This window comes from Homo sapiens, chromosome 19 (assembly GCF_000001405.40).
Source record: "Homo sapiens chromosome 19, GRCh38.p14 Primary Assembly".
Lineage (NCBI taxonomy): Eukaryota > Metazoa > Chordata > Mammalia > Primates > Hominidae > Homo > Homo sapiens.
The window spans coordinates 7,994,779-8,018,056 of NC_000019.10; the positions used below are offsets into that span (position 1 = coordinate 7,994,779).

The 23,278-nt window shown below is 49.5% G+C and overlaps 1 protein-coding gene and 1 long non-coding RNA gene across 11 annotated transcripts in view, besides 6 other annotated features; one reads left to right on the forward strand and one right to left on the reverse strand.

Moving 5' to 3' along the window:
* ELAVL1 (ELAV like RNA binding protein 1) overlaps positions 1 to 10,863 on the reverse strand; it is a 47,069-nt gene extending 36,206 nt beyond the window's left edge. For 2 of the 3 annotated variants that reach the window (XM_047438384.1, XM_047438383.1), the window contains exon 1: positions 7,274 to 7,426. In XM_047438384.1, coding sequence (XP_047294340.1) covers positions 7,274 to 7,338 — 65 coding nt within the window. In that variant the 5' untranslated portion in view covers positions 7,339 to 7,426. Of the gene's footprint in view, positions 1 to 7,273; positions 7,427 to 10,716 lie in introns of those variants that run through there. The other variant, NM_001419.3, reaches the window with a different exon arrangement.
* Positions 6,942 to 7,553: an enhancer, noted in NCBI's record as "H3K27ac-H3K4me1 hESC enhancer chr19:8066604-8067215 (GRCh37/hg19 assembly coordinates)". NCBI's record gives its function as "activates a minimal SCP1, AML or CMV promoter by ChIP-STARR-seq in primed H9 embryonic stem cells {active_cell/tissue: H9 hESC(primed)}" and the evidence as "EXISTENCE:reporter gene assay evidence [ECO:0000049][PMID:30033119]".
* Positions 7,137 to 7,186: a silencer, noted in NCBI's record as "silent region_10005". NCBI's record gives its function as "represses an Ori minimal core promoter by ATAC-STARR-seq in GM12878 lymphoblastoid cells {active_cell/tissue: GM12878}" and the evidence as "EXISTENCE:reporter gene assay evidence [ECO:0000049][PMID:35858748]".
* Positions 7,554 to 8,164: an enhancer, noted in NCBI's record as "H3K27ac-H3K4me1 hESC enhancer chr19:8067216-8067826 (GRCh37/hg19 assembly coordinates)". NCBI's record gives its function as "activates a minimal SCP1, AML or CMV promoter by ChIP-STARR-seq in primed H9 embryonic stem cells {active_cell/tissue: H9 hESC(primed)}" and the evidence as "EXISTENCE:reporter gene assay evidence [ECO:0000049][PMID:30033119]".
* Positions 10,239 to 10,288: a silencer, noted in NCBI's record as "silent region_10006". NCBI's record gives its function as "represses an Ori minimal core promoter by ATAC-STARR-seq in GM12878 lymphoblastoid cells {active_cell/tissue: GM12878}" and the evidence as "EXISTENCE:reporter gene assay evidence [ECO:0000049][PMID:35858748]".
* Positions 10,319 to 10,518: a silencer, noted in NCBI's record as "silent region_10007". NCBI's record gives its function as "represses an Ori minimal core promoter by ATAC-STARR-seq in GM12878 lymphoblastoid cells {active_cell/tissue: GM12878}" and the evidence as "EXISTENCE:reporter gene assay evidence [ECO:0000049][PMID:35858748]".
* Positions 10,749 to 11,238: a silencer, noted in NCBI's record as "silent region_10008". NCBI's record gives its function as "represses an Ori minimal core promoter by ATAC-STARR-seq in GM12878 lymphoblastoid cells {active_cell/tissue: GM12878}" and the evidence as "EXISTENCE:reporter gene assay evidence [ECO:0000049][PMID:35858748]".
* Positions 11,035 to 21,247, forward strand: LOC105372266 (uncharacterized). 8 transcript variants are annotated; one of them, XR_007067126.1, is made up of 4 exons: positions 11,035 to 11,185; positions 13,515 to 13,652; positions 13,834 to 14,098; positions 20,685 to 21,247. It is a non-coding gene; the product is annotated as an uncharacterized LOC105372266 (long non-coding RNA). The 8 variants fall into 8 exon arrangements; XR_936301.2 differs by having other exon boundaries at positions 11,035 to 11,180; XR_936302.2 differs by having other exon boundaries at positions 11,035 to 11,180; positions 20,764 to 21,247.
* The last annotated feature ends 2,031 nt before the right edge of the window (positions 21,248 to 23,278 follow it).

Below are 23,278 nucleotides of genomic sequence, written 5' to 3' on the forward strand. Positions count from 1 at the left end.
CTGACTCTCAACAAAAAATAAAATAATTTAGTGGGCATGGTGACCCATGCCTATAGTTTCAGCTACTCGGGAGACAAAGGCAGGGAGGATCGCTTGAGCCCAGGAGATCAAGGCTGCATGAGCCATGATGGCGCCACTGCACTCCAGCCTGGGCAACAGAGTAAGACTCTGTCTCAAAACAAAACAAAACAAAAAGTGCAAGGAAGGCACTACCTCATGGTTCATAAGAGTATAAAACTGGATAGAATTCTAAATATTCGTTAATGGGAAATGGCTAAATTTCAACTTTCAGTAGCAGCTCGGGACCTATAGACTTTAATCATGAGAAACTCCACGTGTCTGTTACACCATCTGTGGCCACGAGATTTTAGAATAGATCACTGGCTCAAAAACAAACAAACAGACAAAAACATTTGCTGGAAGCTGATCCAAACAGACCACAAGGGTTAACACTGAAGAATTAAAATGCACATTGAAGCTTGCTCAAAATGTAATTCAAGCATTTCCCTTCTTTCTTTCTCTTTTTTCCTTTACCTTTCCTTCTCCTCGCCCTTTCTCTAAGAGTTAGGCATCTACTTTGCTTTTTCCCTCATTCTGCTTTCATGGACGGTGAGATGGACAATGGCTGTCCCAGGCTTACTGTCCACAGTGTGGTATCCTCTAGGTCTGGGAAAAGTGGACCTCCTGAAACACACATCATGGCCTGTGGTACAAATCTGGCCCATTGCCTGTTGTTATAAATAAAGTTTTATTGGAATACAGCTTGTCTCATTTGTTTATGTATTGTCTGTCTATAGATAGTTTTGTACTACAATAACACAGTTAAGTAGTAGCAACCGTATGGCCAAAAAAGCTGAGAATATTTACCATCTGGCTCTTCACACAAAAAAAATCTGCCGACCTCTGTTTTAAAATGTAAAAACATAAAATTTCTTGGAGAAAAATCTTTGTGGCATTGGGCTGGGGAAAGATTTCTCAGACACAACACCAAAAGCCCACTTCGTTAAAAAAAAAAAAAAATGGATAAACTGGATATCATCAAAATTTGAAACTTTTGCTCTGTGAAAGATACTGCTAGGAGAATTAAAATCCACCAACTGGAGTAAACATTTGCAAAAGGGACTTGTAGTCAGAACACTTTTTTTTTTTTTTGAGTCAAAGTCTCACTCCACTGCCCAGGCTGAAGTGCAATGCCATAATCATAGCTCACTGCAGCCACAAACTCTTGGGTTCAAGCAATCCTCCTGCCTCAGCCTTCTGGCTAATTTTTTATTTTTTGTCGAGATAGGGTCTCACTATGTTGCCCACGCTGGTCTTGAATTCCTGGTGTCAAGTGATCCTCCCATCTTGGCCTCTCAAAGTATTAGAATTATAGGCGTAAGCCACCTCACCCAACCCAGAACCCTTTTTTTTTTTTTTTTGAAATGGAGTCTTGCTCTGTCACCCAGGCTGGAGTGCAGTGGCATGATCTCCGCTCACTGCAAGCTCCACCTCCCGGGTTCATGCCATTCTCCTGCCTCAGCCTCCCAAGTAGCTGGGACTACAGGCGCCCGCCACCATGCCCAGCTAATTTTTTGTATTTTTAGTAGAGACGGGGTTTCACCGTGTTAGCCAGGATGGTCTCCATCTCCTGACCTCGTGATCTGCCCATCTGCCCACCTCGGCCTCCCAAAGTGCTGGGATTACAGGCGTGAGCCACCACGCCTGGCCCAGAACACTTTTTTTTAAGCTCTCAAAACAGAAGCAGGCTAGTGTGCTGGCTCATGCCTGGAATTCCAGCACTTTGGGAGGCCGAGGTGGGTGGATCACCTGAGGTCAGGAGTTTGAGACCAGTCCGGCCAACATGGTGAAACCCCATCTCTACAAAAATACAACAAAAAAAAAATTAGCAAGGCGTGGTGGTGGGCATCTGTAATCTCAGTTACTGGGGAGGCTGAGGCAGGAGAATCGCTTGAACCTGGGAGGCAGAGGTTGCAATGAGCCGAGATGGCGCCACTGTACTCCAAACTGGGCGATAGGGCCAGACTCCATCTCCAAAAACCAAAAACAACATAATGAGCAAACAACCTGGTTTCAAAAATGGCAAAAGATTTGAACAGATACTATACCAAAGAATATATATGGATGGCAGACAGGCACATGAAAAGATGCTCAACATCATTAGTCAAATTAAAACCACATCGAGACACCGCTACCCACTTATTAGAATGGCTAAAGCAAAATAAAACAAAAAACAACCAACAGCAACAAAACAGACAATGTCAAGTGCTGGCAGGGATGTGGAGAAGCCAGAATATTCATGCACTGCTGGTGGGAATGCAAAAATGTGAAATGTGACAGCCACTTTGGAAAACAGATTGGCAGTTTCTTATGGTGAAATATACACTTAGCATGGGATCCAGCAATCCTACTCCTAGTATTAAGGCAATAGAAAGGAAAATCTATATTCACACAAAAATCTGTATATAAATGTGCAGAGCGGCATTATTCATAATCATCCAAAACTACAACAACCCAAATATTCTTCAAGCCATTCATGGATAAACTGGGATACACCATACAACAGAATACCACCTGGCAATAAAAGGTATCACCAATTCATGCTACTTGTGTGAATCTCAAACACATCTTGCCACATCATTTCTGTGCCTTCCTGGAAAAGGCAAAACCATAGGGATGGATCTGTGGTCGCTGGGGTTAGGGAGTGAGGGGAAAAGTCGATTACACAGGGACAGGAGGAGGGAGTATTTCTGTTTGTGGGAGAGCGAACTTTCCAATCTTTATTATGGTGGTAATCAAACAACTTTATCCGTTTGTCAAAACTCAGAGAACTCTACTCGAAAAAATGAATTTTCCTACATGCAAATTTAAAAATAAATTGTCTGAGTGTGGCGACTCATGCCTTTAATCCCAGCGCTTTCAGAGGCCAAGGTGGGAGGACTGCTTAAGCCTGGAGTTCAAGACCAGCCTGGGCAGCACAGAGAGATGCCATCATTACAAAAAAAAAAAAAATTAAAAATTACCCAGGAATGGTGATGCACACCTGTATGCAATCCCAGCTAATCGGGGGGCTCAGCTGGGAGGATCACTAGAGCCTGGGAGGTCAATACTGCAGTTAGCTATGATTGTGCCACTGCAGTCCAGCGTGGGCGACAGAGTGAGATCCTGCCTCAAAAACAACAACAAAACCACAATAAAAATAAATTTTAAAAGGTTTAAAAAGAGAACTTCTGCTTTGCGGCCCTGTTCCTCCTGACACTCTGAGTCAAGGCTGAGCAGCCCCTGCAGGTCAAGTTCTTGGTCAACTAGTAACACGGGAGAAACCAACAACCTGCCCTGCAAAGCAGTTTCATGACGTTTCTGGGCCCCCACCCCACTCTCTGGAGGCCCTTCCCTTGACCTTCTCCAAATCTGCATCATCAATCCTGGGCCAAATCAGCTTCTATCCCACAAGCTCCAACCACAACTGGGCCTTGTCACCACTCAATTATCACTGACTCCCAAGTCGTAGCCACTTCTGTCTCTCGAGGTGCAAGGCCTGCACTGTCCTGCAATCAAGATGCTCACCCCTCTGGTATTCCCTGTCAGTGGTCACCACCCATTGAGGCTCGGCGGTCACACGATGATGCTCACGGTCAGGCATGCCATTAATAAGTGGCAGGGCCAGGCCTCAAGTTGTCATGACAATGCAACTGTCAAACTGGCAAGGCCCTTCACAATCGGACCCAGGTGGTTCTCCAGCCTCAGTCGCCACCCTCCCTTCCCGCTCACTCCAGCTTCTTGCCAATATGCTACAGGCCTCTGCTTTGGCTGTTCCCTCTGCAGGGCACTAGTGTCCTCTCCTTCACTTCCCAGCTCATTTTTTAAAATTAGTATTTTTTTTTAAAGAGATGGGGGTCTCTCTTTGTTGCCCAGGCTGGTCTTGAACTCCCAAGCTCAAGTGATCCTCCTACTTTGGCCTCCCAAAGTGCTGGAATTGCAGGTGTGAGCCACCATGCCTGGCCTCCCAGCTCACTTCTATTTTTACTTATTTTTCTTTTGAGAAAGGGTCTTGCTCTGCTGCCAAACTAGAGTGCAGTGGCATAATCACGGCTCACTGCAGCCTCAAACTGCCTCAGTTTCCCAAGTAGCTGGGACTACTGGTGTGTGCCACCATACCTGGCTGATTTTTAAATTTTTTTAGAGACAGGGGTCTCATTTTGTTGCCCATGCTGGCTTCAAGTCATCCTCCCACCTGGGCCTCCCAAAGTGCTGGGATTATAGGTGAGAGCCACTACACCAGGCTGGCTCATCTTTAAAAAGCTACCTTCCTGGCCTGGCGTGGTGGCTTATGCCTGTAATCCCAGCAATGTGGGAGGCCGAGGTAGGCGGATCACCTGAGGTCAGGAGTTTGAGACCAGCATGGCCAACATAGTGAAACCCTGTCTATACTGAAAATACAAAAATTAGCTGGGCGTGATGGTGCATGCCTGTAGTACCAGCTACTCAGGAGGCTGAGACAGCAGACTCACTTGAACGCGGGAGGCAGAGGTTGCAGTGAGTCAAAATCACGCCACTGCACTCCAGCCTGGGCAACAGAGTGAGACTGTCTCAAAAAAATAAAAAATAAAAGGCCACCTTCCCCCAGGACAACAGGTTACTTACTCTAGTTCTCAGTGCCTCCATGCCATTGCTGTAAACCTTTGTTACTGTCCCAACCACTCCTATCATTATTTGCCTTACACTCAATGACCAATGTCAGTGGTGAGAACCTTGAGGGCCCAGGTTATACCATTGCCATCTAAGAGTCCCCAGGCAAAGCCAGGGTGTGTCACACAGCAGTACAGGAGGCTGCTGGCTCTCAGACCAGGCTGGAGTGCAGAGGCATGATCACGGCTCACTGCAGCCCCGGCCTCCTAGGCTCAGGTGATCCTCCCACCTAAGCCTCCCAAGTACCTAGGACTGCAGGTGCGTGTCACTACGTAGTCCTACTAAGTCCTCTATGTAGTTCTGTCTAAGCTTTTTTATGTTTTGCAGAGAGGGGGGTCTTGCTTTGTCACCCAGGCTGGAGTGCAGTGGTGCGATCTTGGCTCACTGCAACCTCCGCCTCCTAGGTTCAAGTGATTCTCCGGCTTCAGCCTCCCGAGTAGCTGAGATTACAGGCACCTGCCACCACGCCCGGCTAATTTTTGTATTTTTAGTAGAGACAGGGTTTCACTACGTTGGCCAGGCTGCTCTGGCACTCCTGACCTCAGGTGATCCACCCGCCTTGGCCTCCCAAAGTGCTGGGATTACAAGCATGAGCCACCACGCTTGGCCGCTTTTTTATGTTTTGTAGAGGCGGGGGCGGGGGGGTGTCTCGCCATGTTGTTCAGGCTGGTCTTTAACTCCTGACGTCAAGTGATCCTCCTACCTCAGCCTCCCAAGCACTGGGCTTAGAGGTGAGAGTCACCGTCGGTGCCTGGCCTCTGGGAGAAGTCTTGTTTGGATGATCTCTGAAGGTTTTTGACTCCAATGCACTATTTTAAACAATCCTGGTTGTCTATGTGACATCAGTGATGTTGTTCACATCCGTCGATCATCTAGCGCATATCCAGGGGAGAGAGATGTGTGTGTCTTTATGTGTGACAGAAAAAGAGTGAAGCAGTGAGGCTGCTTTCCACCAGGCAAGCATGAGAATCACTTTCATTGCACCATGACGGAGCAGGTATTCTAAACCACTTGAGCCAGAGCAAAACTAGAACAGTCAAATCTATCTTCAGGCTCAATCTTGACACTTCACACATCATCTGACAGGGCTTGGACCCAATAATGTTTAAGGTCCTTTCCAGATGCAACATTCTGAGTCTTCCAGGTAAAAAAGGCTTAGGTCATTCAGGAAATGCTCTGCTGCCAGAAAAAACCCAAAGCACCACCTGACCCAGTTATAAATGCCATGCAAGGCAAGGTCTCAGGTGGACATGGCACCAGCTTCTTCCAAGCCCCTGCCCATGGCCCACAGAAGGGCAGGATGCCTGGCTGGAGCAGCTCCAGCTAAGTGACAATTCCCTTTCAGCCAGGCTGAGAAGCCCGGGGCAGGAGCAGGTCAGGTGTGGCTGGCCTGTGGCCCAGTCCAGGCACCCCACAGCCCTGCTAAGGGCTCTGGCTTCTTTCTGGCTGGTCAAGGCCAAAGGCCACTGCAGGGATCTCACACAGAAGTGCAAAGCAACAGGGCATGGCAGGAAAAAACCCTGAGCTCTGGAGCCTGGCAGGCCCGAGCTGGGCACTAAGTCTCCTGCTCATCAGCTGAACTACTGTGCAGAAGTCGCTCCCCTTCCCAGAGCTTCAGCTTCCTCCACTGGGGATGTCACCCCTTGCTCCACAGTGCCTGGTACAGTGAGTACCTGTCTCTAGTCCCACTTCATGAACAAAATCAAGGCGAATGTATGTCTCCCCAACCTCCCTGTCTGCAGCTACAAACACCTTCATCTCCTCTCCTCCTGTCCTTGCCCTCTCTTCAAACCGCCTCCGCCCCCTGAATTACTTCATTTGGTGGCATAGCCCCACCTGTCCCCCAAGCCACCTCTCTCTAGCCCTTGGACCTAATCAAGCACCATGTCCTGCCAGTTTGACATGTGAGATCTCTCACCGTCCTGCCACCTCTCTGCCACCATCCCTATTCAGATTCCTGTCACCTCCTGCTAGACCGACTCCTAAGTGGGATTGCAAACTCAGTGTCTCTAAACCCAGCTTCATCTTCTTCCTCCTAGTCACTCCCCTTCCTTGAGTCTGCCTGTTTCTGTTCATGGTGACATGAGTCTGGCCATCGAGCTGTTCAGGATTGTTCCCTCTCCTGTGATTCCTTCCCCTGACATAAACGTCTCACTCTTAAAAAAAATTTTTTTTTTTTTTAGAGATGGGATCTCGCTATGTTGCCCAGGCTGGTCTTGAACTCCTGGCCTTGAGCAATCTTCCACCTTGGCCTCCCAAGCTGTTGGGGTTACAGGTGTGAGCCACTACACCCAGCCACAGATGTCTGTTTGACAGGTACCTGGATCCAGTCGCTTCTGAGTAGTCTGCCAATCTTTCCTTTCCCTGGCACAGACAAAATATCAACCACGTGCCAGGCACAGAGCAAAGCATCAGGCATACAAAATATAGAAGCAGTCCCAGTCCTGACCCTCAAGCGGTTCAGCCATTACGGGGCCACCTCAGTACTGCAACAGCCTGTGACTGGTTTCTCCTTGTCTCCCCCCAGCCTCTCCACCAGGGTGAGCAGTGAACTAAAACTGCTCAGTAGCCACCCCTGGCCTACCTGCAGGGTAACAGCCAAGCCCTCTGCCCAGTGGACACCTGAGCACTCCTGCCACCACTACCCATCTCAGCCTTCTTGTCCCTAAAGAACCCACGTGGTTCTTTGAACACACGATGTTCTCTGAACACTGCGATGTTCCCACCTCCGGGCTTGGCTGTATCCTAAAAAGCCCCACCCTATTGTCTTTGCCTGGTTAGCTCCTCCCCACCGCTACTGCCTCCTCTCCTCCAGGAAGCATTCTGGGCTCTCCTGTGCCCACCCAGGTCCCTTTTCTGGGCTTCCACATCAGCCAGGGCATAATTCTCACAGCACTCATCAGAGTGGGCTGAGATGACCTACACACATCATGCACACTCTCCAGAGCCTAGCGGGGGCCCAGGACACAGCAGCGGAGCAGGGAGAGTCGTTCAGAGGAGGGAGCGAGCCTCACTTCCCTCCCACAGGCTGGCTTCCGTTGGTCTTCCCCTGACCCACAGCTCGGGTCGGCCGCACCGCCTCGCTACTGCCACCTAGGGGCGCCAGCCGGGCGCTGCGCTTCTCTCGCCATTCAGCCTTGAATTCGATTCAATAAACTGAATGGGATGGGAACACTAAGGAGGGAACAGTTGATTCCGGTGCGGGTGGAGGAAGAGTGGCAGTCAGACGAGGCTTCAAACGGCCAGTGAGCTCTGGGCTGAGCCATGGAGCATAAGCAAAGGATCTCCAGGTGGAAGAGATCTGTCTCCAGGTGGAGGCTGCAACAGGCAGGGAGGGTTAGAGTTTGGGGTCTACGTGCAGGGGCGGGGAGGGTTAGGGTGTGAAGGAACTGGCACTCCAAACTAAGGGCTTCTAGCTTTATCTTTTAAGCCACCAGAGAGGTCAAGAAAACGTGTCTTTTTTCTGCACAAAGATTTTAAATCAGAAGGGATACAATTAGATGTGCATTTACAGAACAGAACTCCTGCTGGAGTGTGGAAAGAGGGAAGAGATGGGAAGCGGAGAGTGAGAGAGGCAAGAAATTTTCATAAAGTTTTTTCATAATTCTCTCATTTCTTTTACTTGAAATAGCACCATGGGCTGGGCGCGGTGGCTCACACCTGTAATCCCAGGACTTTAGGAGGCCAAGGCGGGTGGATCACCTGAGGTCAGGAGTTCGAGACCAGCCTGCTCAACAAGGCGAAATCCCACCTCTACTAAAAATGCAAAAAATTAGCTGGACGTGGTGGCGGCTGCCTGTAATCCCAGCTACTTGGGAGGCTGAGGTTGCAGTGAGCTGAGATGGCACAACTGCACTCCAGCCTGGGCAACAAGGGTGAAACTGTCTCAAAAAAAAAAAAAAAAAAAGAAAAAGAAAAAAAAAAAAAAAGAAATAGCACCATGGTCCGGGCGCGGTGGCTCACGCCTGTAATCCCAGCACTTTGGGAGGCCGAGGCGGGCGGATCACAAGGTCAGGAGATCGAGACCATCCTGGCTAACACGGTGAAACCCCGTCTCTACTAAAAGTACAAAAAATTAGTCGGGCGTGGTAGCCGGCGCCTGTAGTCCCAGCTACTCGGGAGGCTGAGGCAGAAGAATGGCGTGAACCCGGGAGGCGGAGCTTGCAGTGAGCCGAGATCGCACCACTGCACTCCAGCCTGGGCGGCAGAGTGAGACTCCGTCTCAAAAAAAAAAAAAAAAAAGAAATAGCACCATGATCTCAGACTCAACACATCCAGACTGAAACTCTGTCTGCTCAAAACCAATGCATCAACATAAACAGTATTATTTCCTTCCACATTTGAGACGTTCGTGTATCTCAACCTCTTTGTGGGCCTCGAAGTTGCAGAATTTGATAATAGATCCCAGCACAGAACTTTGCACACAGAAAATATTCGATGACAACTGGAGTGCCCTGGAGCCTTGTGATTATAGGAGCAGTACAATCGAGTGGTTAAGAGTAAGGGTTTTGAATCAGAGGGCCCGAGTTCAAACCCTGGCGCAGCCACTTTAGTGCATGAGACTGGTCACATCAAGTGACCCATCTAAGCCTCAGTTTCTTCATCTCTAAAATGGAAATTAATGGAAATTATAACATCACCTGCCTCAAGGACTGCAGACAAACGTCCACAAAGTGTCAAGCACATAGTAAATCCTCAATAAATACTGGTGGCTATGTACAACATCATTTATTCAGTGCCTACCAGGCACAGACCACGCACAACGCAACGGGATTTCCACCCTCTTCAATTTGCACCACACTTTTGTCCTTCCCATTTTATAGATAAGAAAACTAAGGCTCAACAGAGTCAAGCTTGTTCGAGGTCTTGGGAGCATCTCCCAGGGCATTAGAACTTTTGGAGGAAGAGCATTTAGTTCAGTAATGGTTCTCACCTGTGCGTGTGAGAGTGGAAGAGACCCCTCCCCCGCAACCCGAGCCATCTGGCAATGTTTGGAGATACTTTTGATCCTCACGACTTGGAGCATGGGGATACTGCTGGCATCTAGTGGGTAGAGGCCAGGAATACGGCTCAACTTCCTACATTGCACAGGGAAGCCCCCACTACCACCACAACCAAAAACTATCTGACCCCAAACATCAGTAGGGCCAACGTCGAGAAACCCTGCTCTAGACAGATCATTCTCCTCATCTTCCCATTTCTGGCCATCCGGATCTTAGATGAACACTTTCTAGCAAGGGGGCTCAGTCCCACCACGGGAAGCCCATGCAGAAGTTGTGCAGAAGTTCTTCTCCACCTGCCCTGCACACAGTAGGGACCAAAACCCATTTTAACAAGCCCCGCAGCCCAGAGCACCGGAAAAGGAAGGAAGGGCATCCATCCCCCATTGTTCAACTGTGTGCAGCTTGTGTTTCCAACAGGCACACACACATATTTTACAAATCCTAACGTCCCACGCCCCACAAACAGCTTTGTTAGAGATGGCGCTCAAAAAAAGATGCAGTTTAGATTTTTTTTTTCCCCCAGGACTCCCGTGTATCTACTGAAGGGTTTGCACACTTCTCAAAGGACCTCGCACCGGCCGCGGTGCTCTGACAACGACCACAAAAGAATCTGTGGGATTTCCCGGGGGAGCAAGCCCGTGGGCCGTGACCTCTGCGCGCTCAAAGCGTTCCCGGCGCTCCCCCGTAGCTGGCCCCACTCTCCCGCCCCCGGAGCCCGGGCTTCCAAGGCGACCGGGGCCCCCGGCCGTGCAGCCCGGCCCCCCGGCGCATGCCCACGCCGTATCCCCCTCGCCCGTCCCTCGAGGCGCCAGAGGAATCCGGCCCCGGGGCCTGTAGCCGGCGCCCACACCGGCCCGCCCCGACCCGCCCGCCGCGGCCCCAGCGCGCGTCCCCTCCCCCGGTCCGGCGCGGCCTGGGCCTCGGCCGGTGCAGGCCCGCGGGCGCCCCGCGGCCAGGCCAGGCGAGCTCAGGCCTGCCGCGGCCTACCCCGTCGGGCGCCGCCGAAGGCCCCCCACCGCCTCACCTGGATGCGGGCGGGCGGGCCCGGGGCTGCTCCGGGGCGGGCGGGAGGCGGCGGCGGCGCGGCGCTAACGGCTCCGCTCGGCCTCGGTAGCGGTGGCGGCGGTGGCGGCGACGGCGACGGCGGCAGCGGCTCCTCCTCAGCGCGCACGACCCGCTCCGGCCCGCGGCCCGGACACGCCCCCCCCGCGCGCGAGCCCATTGGCCGACGTCCGCCACGGCGCGCTGCTCATTGGCCGGCGTAGCTGTCGCGGCGCTCCGGGGCGCGCGGGAGAGGCGGGACTTCCGGTCGGCGCCGCCTGCGAAGTGCTCCGCGGCCGGCGGAGACGCGGGCAGCCAGCGATGGCCGCGGAGGGGGCGAACTGGGTTCCGGCCCTCGGAGGCTGACGGAAGGCGGTGGCTGAGGAGCGGCGCCTCTGGTTGAGCGCTCGCCGTGTGTCCCGCACCTGTCTGTCCTGCCGCCGCCCGGTAAGGTAGGAAAGGTCAGCGCGCCGGGGTTACGGGTACAGAACCTGGGTTCGAATCCCGGCCCCGACGTTTCCGCACTACGTGCCGTTGGGCAGGAGCTGACGTCACCTTGCCGGGCCTCAGTTTCCTTCTCTGGTGCGCTGAGGAGGCGGGGCATGGAACGTGGTCAGCGCTTCATCGGTGCTGGCTCTTTGAGCAAGCCAGTTCCCGAAGGCTCAGCATCTCATTCATTCATTAAAATGTCATTGAGCGCCTACTGTGTGTCAATCACTGTATGGGCAGTGAGCAGAAAAAAAATACCTGGTCTTATTGGGCTAACATTCTAAACCAGCGCTGGCCTAGAATGCCCTAGTAGAAATACATGCAAGCTACATGTTTAATTTTTTTTTATGTAAAGATGGGCTCTGGTTCTGTTGCCCAGGCTGGTCTCGAACTCCTGGACTCAAGCGATTCTCCTGCCTCCGCCTCCCAAAGAGCTGGGATTACAGGCATGCCTGCACTCTGCCTAATTTTTTCTTTTTTTTTTTTATGATCTGAAAATAATAGTCTTTTTATTTTTATTTATTTATTTATTTATTTGAGACGGAGACTCGCTCTGTCGCCAGGCTGGAGTGCAGTGGCGTGATCTCCGCTCACTGCAACCTCCGCTTCCCAGGTTCAAGCGATTCTCCTGCCTCAGCCTCCTAAGTAGTTGGGCCTACAGGCGCTGCGCCACCACAACCAGCTAATTTTTGTATTTTTAGTAGAGACGGGGTTTCACCGTGTTGGCCATGATGATCTGTATCTCTTGACCTCGTGATCTGCCCGCCTCAGCCTCCCAAAGTGCTGGGATTACAGGCTTGAGCCACTGCGCCTGGCCTACAATTTTGTTTTTCTTTTTTTTTTTTTTTTTTTGAGACAGGATCTCACTCTGTCACCCAATTTGGAGTGCGGTGGTATGATCACAGCTAACTGCAGCCTCAACTTCCCCAGCTCAGGCAATCAATCCTCCGGCTTCAGATTCCTGAGTAGCTTAGACTACAGGATGTGCCACTATGCCTGGCTAATGTTTTATTTTTTTGTAGCGATGAGGTCTTGCTGTATTGCCTAGGCTGGTCTCAAACTTCTAGACTTAAGTGATCCTCCTGCTTTGGCCTCCCAAAGTGTTGGGATTACAGGCGGGAGCCACGGTGCCCAGCCTGTTTCTTTTTTTAATCATATTTTCTTAGAAGTTTTTTTTTTTTTTTTTTTTTTTTTTGGAGACAGGGTCTCACTCTGCTGTGCAGGCTGGAATGCAGTGGTGTGATCTCAGCTCACTGCAACCTCTGCCTCCCTATTCAAGTGATTCTCGTGCCTCAGCCTCCCAAGTAGCTGGGATCACAGGCGTGCAACATCACACCCAGCTAATTCTTGTGGTTTTAGTAGAGATGGGGTTTTGCCATGTTGGCCAGGCTGGTCTCAAACTCCTGGCCTCAAGTGATCCACCCACCTCGGCCTCCCAAAGTGCTGGGATTACAGGCATGAGCCACCACCCGGCCTAGGAAAGCTTTTTAGAGATTGGGTCTCACTGTGTTGCCCAGGCTGGAGTGCAGTGGCTGTTCACAGGTGCAATCATCCCACAGGTTTAACTCCTGACCTCAAGCAGTCCTTCTGCCTCAGGCTCCCAAGTAGCTGGGATTATAGGCACGTGCCACCACACCTAGCTCAATTAAATGTTAAATTTAACATTTAATTGTTAAATTTTATAGTAGCCAGCATTCTGGGTCATCACGGTGCAATAGAAGTATAAACAAAGCAGGCCAGGCACAGTAGGTCACGCCTGTAATCCCAGCACTTTGGGAGGCCGAGGCGGGCAGATCACCAGGTCAGTAGTTCGAGACCAGCCTGGCCAACATGTTGAAACCCCAGTCTCTACTAAAAATACAAAAATTAGCTGGACGTGGTGGCAGGAGCCTGTAATCCCAGCTACTCGGGAGGCTGAGGCAGGAGAATCGCTTGAAACTGGAAAGTGGAGGTTGCAGTGAGCCGAGATCCCGCCACTGCACTCCAGCCTAGGTGAAAGAGGGAAATTACATCTCAAAAAAACAGTATAAGCAAGCCACAGATTTGTCAGCGAGGTATGTAATTTAAATTGGTACATTGTTAGCCATGTTTAAAAATAAGTAAAAAGAAACGGGTGATGTTAGTTGTAATGTGTTTTATTTAACTCAGTAGGTTGAATATGTTATTATTTAAACATGTAGTCAATATTTTAAAATACAGGATGTTTTGCATCTGTTATCTTTCCAAAATAGAAGATACTTTGTGTCCTTTTTCTTTCCTGCATGCTTTTTTTTTCTTATTTTTTTGAGACAGAGTCTCACTCTGTTGCCAAGGCTGGAGTGCAGTGGCGGGATCTCGGCTAACTGCAACCTCCCCATCCCGGGTTCAAGCGATTCTCCTGCCTCAGCCTCCCGAGTAGCTGCGATTACAGACATTTGCCACCATGCCCGGGTAATTTTTTGTGTTTTTAGTAGAGACAGAGTTTCACCATGTTGCCCAGGCTGGCCTCGAACTCCTTACCTTAAGTGATCCACCCGCCCTGGCCTCCCATAGTGCTGGGATTACAGGCGTGAGCCACCGCGCCTGGCCCCTGCCTGCTTTTGAAATCTAGTATGTATCTTATACTCCACAGCACAGCACAGCACCGCACATCTCCAGTCGGACTGGCTACATTTCAAGGGCTCAACCATCACGCGTTACCAGTGGCTACTGCATCAGACTGTGCAGTGCTAGATGGGGAGTCAGAAGAGAAACCAAGTGATTTCCATGTCAAGTGGTGAACAGGCTAAGAAGAAAAGTAAATTGGGGAAAGAGCATGGGGAATGTGGGGGTTGCTGTTTGAAAGAGGATGGTTGGGAAGGCTGAAGAGCTGTCATTCGCAGAGGGACCCAAAAGAGGTGAGAGCACTGAACAAATAGTTACATTCTTCATTGTCTGCCGCAGTGCTGTCCAGAAGAGCTTCCCACGATAATGGGCATGTTCCATATCAGCACCGTCCAATTCAGTAGCCCCTGGCTCCATGGGGTTTTCTCTCTTTGTTTTTTTCTGTTTGTTTTTTTTTTTAAGACAGAGTCTCACTCTTTTGCCAAGGCTGGAGTGCAGTGGTGTGATCTTAGCTCACAGCAACCTCTGCCTCCTGGGTTTAAGCGATTCTTCTGCCTCAGCCTCCTGAGTAGCTGGAACTACAGGCATGCACCACCACGCCTGGCTAATGTTTATATATATATTTTTTGCTTTGTTTTGTTTTGTTTTGAGATGGAGTCTTGTTCTGTCGTCCAGGCTGGAGTGCAGTGGTGTGATCTCGGCTCACTGCGAGCTCCATCTCCCTGGTTCACGCCATTCTCCTGCCTCAGCCTCCCGAGTAGCTGGGAATACAGGCGCCCACCACCACACCCGGCTAATTTTTTCATGTATTTTTAGTAGAGACGGGGTTTCACTGTGTTAGCCAAGATGGTCTCTATCTCCTGACCTCGTGATCTGCCTGCCTTGGCCTCCCAAAGTGCTGGGATTACAGGCGTGAGCTGCAGCGTCCGACCTATATTTATATTTTTATTTATTATTATTATTATTATTATTATTATTATTATTATTATTATTATTATTTTGAGATGAAATATTGCACTGTCGCCCAGGCTGGAGTGCAGTGGTTTGATCTCGGCTCACTGCAACCTCCGCCTCCTGGGTTCAAGTGATTCTTGTGCCTCAGCCTCCCAAGTAGCTGGGACCGCCTGCTACCACACCTGGCTAATTTTTTTGTATTTTTAGTGGAAACAGGATTTCATCATGTTGACCAGGTCAGTATTGAACTCCCAACTTCAGGTGATCCACCAACCTCGGCCTCCCAAAGTGCTGGGCTTACAGGCATGAGCTGTTGCACCTGGCCTCCATGTGTGTTTTGTAGGGTTTTTTTTTTTTTTTTGCACTTGGCACATGGTTGGTACCATTAAAGAACTGACTTTCTGGCCAGACAACGGTGGCTCATGCCTGTAATCTCCAGCACTTTGGGAAGCCAAAGTGGGAGGATAACTTGAGGCCAGGAGTTCAAGACCAGCCTGGGCAACATAGCAAGCCCCCATCTCTACCAAAAATAAAAAAATAAGCCAGGTGATATGGTGTGGGCCTTTAGTCTCAGCTGCTTGAAAGGCTGAGTTGAGAGGATTCCTCAAGCCCAGGAGTTCGAGACTGCATTGAGTTGTGATCATGCCACAACATTTCAGCCTGGGCAACAGAGCAAAACCCCATGTCAAAAAAAAAAAAAAAAACTGAGCGTAAGTTTTTAATTAATTCAAATTTAAATAACCATATAGGGCTAGTCGCTCCTATAGTGGACAGCATAGGGTTGGTATAGTGTTGACAAGTCCTCTGAATTAAGTGGGTCCTTCATGGCAAATGCTTTATGGACATCCTCCTGTGAAATCCTAGAAATAGGCCAGGTGTGGTGGCTCACGCTTATAATCCCAGCACTTTGGGAAGCCGAGGCGGGCAGATCACGAGGTCAGCAGTTCAAGACAAGCCTAGCCAACATAGAGAAACCCCATCTCTACTAAAAATAGAAAAATTAGCCAGGCATGGTAGTGGGCGCCTGTAATCCCAGCTACTCGGGAGGCTAAGGCAGGAGAATCGCTTGAACCTGGGAGGTGGAGGTTGCAGTGAAACGAGATCACGCCACTGCACTCCAACCTGGGCAACAAAAGCCAAACTCCATATCAAAAAAAAAAAAAAAAGGGAAAAGGAAACGTTTTAAACTGAGATTGGGGTGATGGGCAACAGAGTGAGACTCTGTCTCAAAAAAAAAAAGACCTTATTTTTTAGAAAAATTTAGACCCAGCACAGTGGTTCACACCTGTAATCCCAGCACTTTGGGAGGCTGAGGCAGCAGGATCTCTTGAGGCCGGGAGTTTGAGACCAACCCAGGTAATATAGCAAGACCCCCATCTCTAGTAAAAATTTAAAAAATTTGCTGGGTGTGGTGGCACACACCTGTGCTCCCAGCTACTGGGGAGGCTGAGGTGGGAGGATTGGTTAAGCCTGGGAGGTCAAGGCTACAGTGAGCTGTGATTGCACCACTGCCCTCTATTCTGGGTGACAGAGTGTGACCCTATCTCAAAAAAAAAAAAAAAAAAAAAGAAAAAAGAAAAATTTTAGATTTACAGAAATACTTCCAAAGTAGTAGTAGAGAGTTACCAGGCCTGGTGCAGTGGCAGGTACTTATAATCCCAGCTACTTGGGAGGCTAAAGTGGGAGGATCTCTGAGCCCAGGAGTTGCAGACCAGCCTGGGCAACATAGCCAGACCCTGTCCTTTTTTTTTTTTTTTTTCTTTTTTTTTTGAGACCGACTCTCACTCTATCGCCCAGGCTGGAGTGCAGTGGTGTGATCTTGGCTCACTCCTATCTGCGTCTTCTGGGTTCAAGCGATTCTCCTGCCTCAGCCTCCCGAGTAGCTGGGATTACATGCGCCCACCACCATACCCAGCTAATTTTTGTATTTTTAATAGAGATGGGTTTTCACTGTGTTGGCCAGGTTGGTCTCCAACTCCTGACCTCAGGTGATTCACCTGCCTTGGCCTCCCAGAGTGCTGGGATTACAGGCGTGAGCCACCAGACCCTGTGTTAAAAACAAACAAAAAAACAGAGTTACCATTATTCTCTATTAGTAACATATTTTAGTTACAAATGAGTAACATATTGGTAACAAATTAATAATGATAATTTGTTGCAGTTAATGGACCAATACTGATACTTTGCTATTAACTGAAGGTCAGAGTTTATTTAGTCTTCCTTTGTGTTGCCCTAGTATCTTTTTTCTCTCCCAGGATCCCACCCAGGAGACTATCTCACTTTTTTTTTTTTTGAGACAGAGTCTCGCTCTGTCACCCAGGCTGGAGCGCAGTGGCGCGATCTCGGCTTACTGCAGCCTTCACCTCCTGGGTTCAAGTGATCCTCCCGTTTCAGCCTCCTAAGTAGCTCGGACTTCAGGCACCTGCCATCATGCGTGGCTAATTTTTGTATTTTTAGTAGAGACGGGGTTTCGCCATGTTGGCCAGGCTGGTCTTGAACTCCTGACCTCAAGTGATCCACCTGCTCGGCCTCCCAATGTGCTGGGATTACAGGCATGAGCCACTGCGCCTGGCCAGTCCATCTCACTTTTAGTTCTCTTATCTCATTAGGCTCTTCTTGGCTATGACAGATTCTCAGATTTCCCTAGTTTTTGATGATCTTGACAGTTTTGAGGAGTGCCGGTCAGGTATTTTGGTAAGAGTGTCCCTCTTTTGGAATTTATCTGGAGTTTTTCTCATAAGATACACGTTTTTGGCAGCAAGATCAAGGTAATAAAGTATCAATTTAATCACACCATATCAAGGATACATCCTATCAAATTTATTATTTATTTATTTAAAGAGACAGGGTCCCGGCCGGGCACTGTGGCTTACGCCTCTAATCCTAGCCCTTTGGGAGACAGAGGCAGGTGGATCACTTGAGGTCAGGAGTTCGAGACCAGCCTGGCCAACATGGTGAAACCCTATCTCTACTAAAAAAGTATAAAAATTAGCTGGATGTGGTGGTACACACCTGTAGTCCCAGCTGCTCTGGAGGCTGACGCATGAGAATTGCTTGAACCTGGGAGGCGGAGGTTGCAGTGAGCCAAGATTGTGCCACTACACTCCAGCGTGGGGATTACAGGTGTGCACCACCATGCCTAGCTAATTTTGTATTTTTCAGTAGTGACGGGGTTTCACCATGTTGGCCAGGCTGGTGTTGAACTCCTGACCTCAGGTGATCCACCCGTCTTGTTCTCCCAAAGTGCTGGGATTAGAGGCATGAGCCACCGTGCCCAGTCCTTTTTTTTTTTTTTTTTTTTTTTTTTTTTTTTAATACTGTGGAAGGAAGTCACTATGCGTAGCCCACACCTAAGTTGTGGAAGGTTATACTCTATTTATTTAAGGGTAGACTGTCTACATAAATTTTTTTTAATTTTAGAGACAGAGTCTTGCTGTGTTGCCCAGGCTGGAGTGCAGTGGTGTGATCATGGCTCACTGCAGCCTCAACTTCCTAGGCTCAAGAGATCCTTCCACCTCAGCCTCTCTAGTAGCTGGGACTACAGGTGCACGTGATCACATCTGGCTACTTTTTGTATTTTTTTGTAGAGCTGGGATCTCACTATGTTGTTCAGGCTAGTCTGGAACTCCTGGCCTCAAGCACTCCTCCTGCCTTGGCCTCCCAAAGTTCTAGGGTTATGATTTGCATCGCTACATCTGGCCCTACATAAATTATTATTATTTTTTAAGCTTGTCCACAGCTGAAACATAAGTTTTCTAGAATCCTTCCACGTGGGAGATTTATCTCGCTCTCCCCCACTTACTAGGTCATTGAATTATATCAGGATGGAATGCTGGATATTTATTTATTTATTTATTTTACTCTGGAGATGGAGTTTTGCCCTTGTTGCCCAGGCTGGAGTACAATGGCATGATCTCGGCTCACCACAACCTCCACCTCCTGGGTTCAAGCGATTCTCCTGCCTCAGCCTCCCAAGTAGCTGGGATTACAGGCATGTGCCACCATGCCCGGCTAATTTGGTATTTTTAGTAGAGATGGGATTTCTCCATGTTGGTCAGGCTGGTCTCGAACTCCCGACCTCAGATGATCCGCCTGCCTTGGCCTCCCAAGGCAGTGATTACCGGGATTACCGGCATGAGCCACTGTACCTGGCCTGGATGTTTATTTTATGCTTTGTGTTATAACCCAATACTACTGTATTTTGTCGGTCAAATTGTTCCAGCTTTGGCCGTCTACCACTCTTTAATTTGGCTCCTGTGGCCCTTTGACATATCCCCATCAATGTGTTTTTCAGTGGTTTTTTTGTTTGTTCGTTTTATTCGAAGCAGTTCCTTAAACTTTGTGGCAACACAAAATGCTGCAGGCCTATCTTGTGTATTTCTGCCCTTCGTCCTAGAAGCAGCCATGTCTCCAAGGGGGCCCTGGTTCCTTTTAGTAGAGAATGATATTGAAAACCAGGATCTGGGGTACTGGAAGTGCTCATTGCTACTGGAATGTTGTTTCTTTAGATCTTTAGATCACCAATAGCTTTTTTGTTTGTTTTTTTGAGACGGAGTCTCGCATTCTCGCCTAGCCTGGAGGGCAGTGGCGCGATCTTGGCTCACTGCAAGCTCTGCCTCCCGGGTTCACGGCATTCTCCTGCCTCAGCCTCCCGAGTAGTTGGGACTACAGGCGCCCGCCACCACGCCTGGTTAATTGTTTTGTATTTTTAGTAGAGACGGGGTTTCACCATGTTAGCCAGGATGGTCTCGATCTCCTGACCTTGTGATCCACCCGCCTCGGCCTCCCGAAGTGCTGGGATTACAGGCGTGAGCCACTGTGCCTGGCCTTTTTTTTTTTTTTTTTTTTTAAGACAGGGTCTCACTATGTTGTCCAGGCTGGAATGCAGTGGTGCCATCTTGGCTCACTGCAGCCTCAACCTCCTGGGCTCAAGCCATCCTCCCACCTCAACGTCCCAAGTAGCTGGGACTGCAGGTGTGTGCCACTGTGCCCACCTAAATTTTTGTATTTTTTGTAGAGACAGGGTTTTACCATGTTGCCCAGCCTGGTCTCTAACTCCTGAGCTCAACTGATCCACTCACCTTGGTCTCCTGAAGTGCTGGGATTACAGGCGTGAGCCACCAAACCCAGCATCAATAGCTCTTTTCTTTTCTTTTTCTTTTTTTTTTTTGTTTTTGTGAAAGGGTCTGCACTCACCAGCAGTGTGACCTTGGGCGAGTCATTTAATCTCTCTGAGTTTTAGCTTCCTCATCTCTAAAATGGGGGTGGGCCAGATGTGGTGGCTCATACCTGTACTCCCAGCACTTTGGGAGGCTGAAGTGGGCAGATCATTTGAGGCTAAGAGTTCAAGACCAGCCTGGCCAATATGGTAAAACCCCATCTCTACTAAAAATACAAAAATTAGCCAGGCATGGTGGTACACACCTGTAATCCCAGCTATTCTGGAGGCTGAGGCAGGAGAATCACTTGAACCTGAGAGGGAGAGGTTGCAGTAAGCCGAGATGGCGCCACTGCACTCCAGTCTGGGCAACAGAGTGAGACTCTGTTTCCAATAAATAAAAATAAAATAAGGCCGGTGTGGTGGCTCACGCCTGTAATCCCAGCACATTGGAGGCAAAGGCAGGCAGATCATCTGAGGTTGGGAGTTCGAGACCAGCCTGACCAACATGGAGAAACCCTGTCTCTACTAAAAATACAAAATTAGCTGGGCGTGGTGGCGGGTGCCTGTAATCCCAGCTCCTCGGGAGGCTGAGGCTGGAGAATTGCTTGAACCCAGGAGGCAGAGGTTGCGGTGAGCCGAGGTCGCACCATTACACTCCAGCCTGGGAGACAAGAGTGAAACTCCGTCTCAAAAAATAAAATAAATAAAATGGGGGTGATCACAGTACAGGTGATCCTTGAACAACCTGGGTCTGAACTGCACAGGTCCACTTACAGCTGGATTTACTTCCACCTCTGCCACCTGTGAGACAGCGAGACCAACCCCTCCTCCTCCTCTTCCTAGCCTACTCCGAGTGAAGATGATGAAGATGAAGACCGTTATGATCCACTTCCACTTAATGAAAGATGAATATATTTTCTCTTCCTAATGATTTTTTTTTTTTTTTTTTTGGAGACAGAGTCTCGCTGCATCCCCCAGGCTGGAGTACAGTGGTATGATCTTGGCTCACTGCAACCTCTGCCTCCTAGGTTCAAGTGATTCTCCTGCCTCAGTCTCCCGAGTAGCTGGGATTACAGGCGCCCACCACCATGCCCGGCTAATTTTTGTATTTTTAGTAGAGATGGGGTTTCACTATGTTGGCCAGGCTGGTCTCAAACTCCTGACCTCAGGTGATCTGCCTGACTTGGCCTCCCAAAGTGCTGGGATTACAGGCATGAGCCACCTTGCCTGGCCTCTTCCTAATGATTTTTTAAAGTACATCTTGTTTTCTCTGTCTTACTTTATCATAAAAATATATGATACAAATAAAATACAGAATATGTGTTAATGGACTGTGTATGTTATGAGTAAGCCTTCCAGTCGACAGTGGGCTATTATTGGTGGTTAAGTTTTGGGGGAGTGTGTGTTCAAGGGTCAACCGCACTTCCTGAGGGCACTGTGAGAACTAAGTTAAATAACCCACTTTTACAATCTTTGGAACCGGGGGCAGGTGGCTGGGGCTCACACCTGTAATTACAGCACTTTGGGAGGCTGAGGCAGGAAGATCCCTTGAGGCCAAGAGTTTGAGACCAGCCTGGGCAACAAAGCAAGACTCTGTCTCTACAAAAATTTTTAAAACTTAACCAGGCAGCTGGGCGCGGTGGCTCACGCCTGTAATCCCAGCACTTCGGGAGGCCGAGGCGGGAGGATCACAAGGTCAGGAGATCGAGACCATCCTGGCTAACATGGTGAAACCCCGTCTCTACTAAAAATACAAAAAATTAGCCGGGCATGGCAGCATGCGCCGGTAGTCCCAGCTGCTGGGGAGGCTGAGGCAGGAGAATGGTGTGAACCCGGGAGGCGGAGCTTGCAGTGAGCCGAGATCGTGCCACTGTACTCCAGCCTGGGCGACAGAGCGAGACTCCATCTCAAAAAAAAAAAAAACTTAACCAGGCGTGCTGGCATGTGCCTGTTGTCCAGCTAGTCAGGTGGCTGAGGTGGGAGGATCCCTTGAGCTCAGAAGTTTGAGGTTGCCATGAGCCGTGATCGTGCCACTGCACTCCAGCCTGGGTGACAGCAAGACCCTGTCTCTAAAAAAAATTTTCTAAAAAAACAAAACCCAGGTCTGCTTGGTCTCAAAGATCTTTATTTGCCTGCTCTGATTGTGAGATAGGAAGTTCTTATCTGATTTTGCCCTTTTATTTATTTATTTTTTTTTGAGATGGAGTCTGTCTCTGTCATCCAGGCTAGAGTGCAGTGGCACAATCTTGGCTCACTGCAACCTCCGCTGATAGCAGATTACACTTTTATTTTTAGTTTTTTATGAGATGGAGTTTTGCTTTTGTCGCCCAGGCTGGAGTGCAATGGCAAGATCTCGGCTTACTGCAACCTCCGCCTCCCGGGTTCAAGCAATTCTTCTGCCTCAGGCTCCCAAGTAGCTGGGATTACAGGTGCGCACCACCATGCTCAGCTAATTTTTTTGTATTTTTAGTAGAGACAGGGTTTTGCCATGTTGGCCAGGCTAGTCTCGAACTCCTGACCTCAAGTGATCCACCCGCCTTGGCCTCCCAAAGTGCTGGGATTACAGGCATGAGCCACCACATCTGGCTCTGTTTTGCTTTTTTTTTTTTTTTAAATGAGAAGCATAGTCTTGATCCTGGGGAGTAGGAATCGGCCACGGTAGTTCGGGGTACTCTTGCTGTCCCTCTCAGTCCCTGTCTGTTCCTTCAGCACAAGCTATTGTGAGTCCAGGAGGTCAGGAGACAGAGAAGCTGACTGAGCCCAAGTCCCTGTTCTAGAGGACATCACTGCCCTGAGGCAACGATGGACACGTGGACACATAAATCCACCCAACGTGACAAGGGACGGGCACAGATCGGCCTCCCATGGAGGGCAGTGTTGGGGCCACATTAATCCATGAGGAAGGGTCGGCTAGGCAGAGAAGAGAGGTGGGGAGTTCCAGACAGAGGGACCGACAGGAGTAACGGCACAAATTTGTCAGGGAGGATCATTCAGGGAGCAGGGGTGCCGGTTCGGAGGGGAGATCACAGTGAGGTGGCACTGGCCTTGAGGAGCCCTGGAAAGTCGGGCAGAGAAGATCTGATGTGATCCCATAGCCCACGTAGTCAGCCCACAACAGCCCGATTCAGCCCATGCCTGTTTTCCGGCGGCCCGTGAGCCAAGAATGATTTTTCCACAGTTGGAAAAATAACAGTAGCGTTTTGTGACATGTGAAAATTACATGAAATGCAAGTTTCAGCGTCCATAAAGTTTGACAGTAACACAGCCACGCCTCTCCTTTGTGTGTGGCCAGGGGACGCTCTTGAGCTGTCATAGAGGCGGAAGTGGTGCACAGGACGCGCTTCATGGATGTGCACAC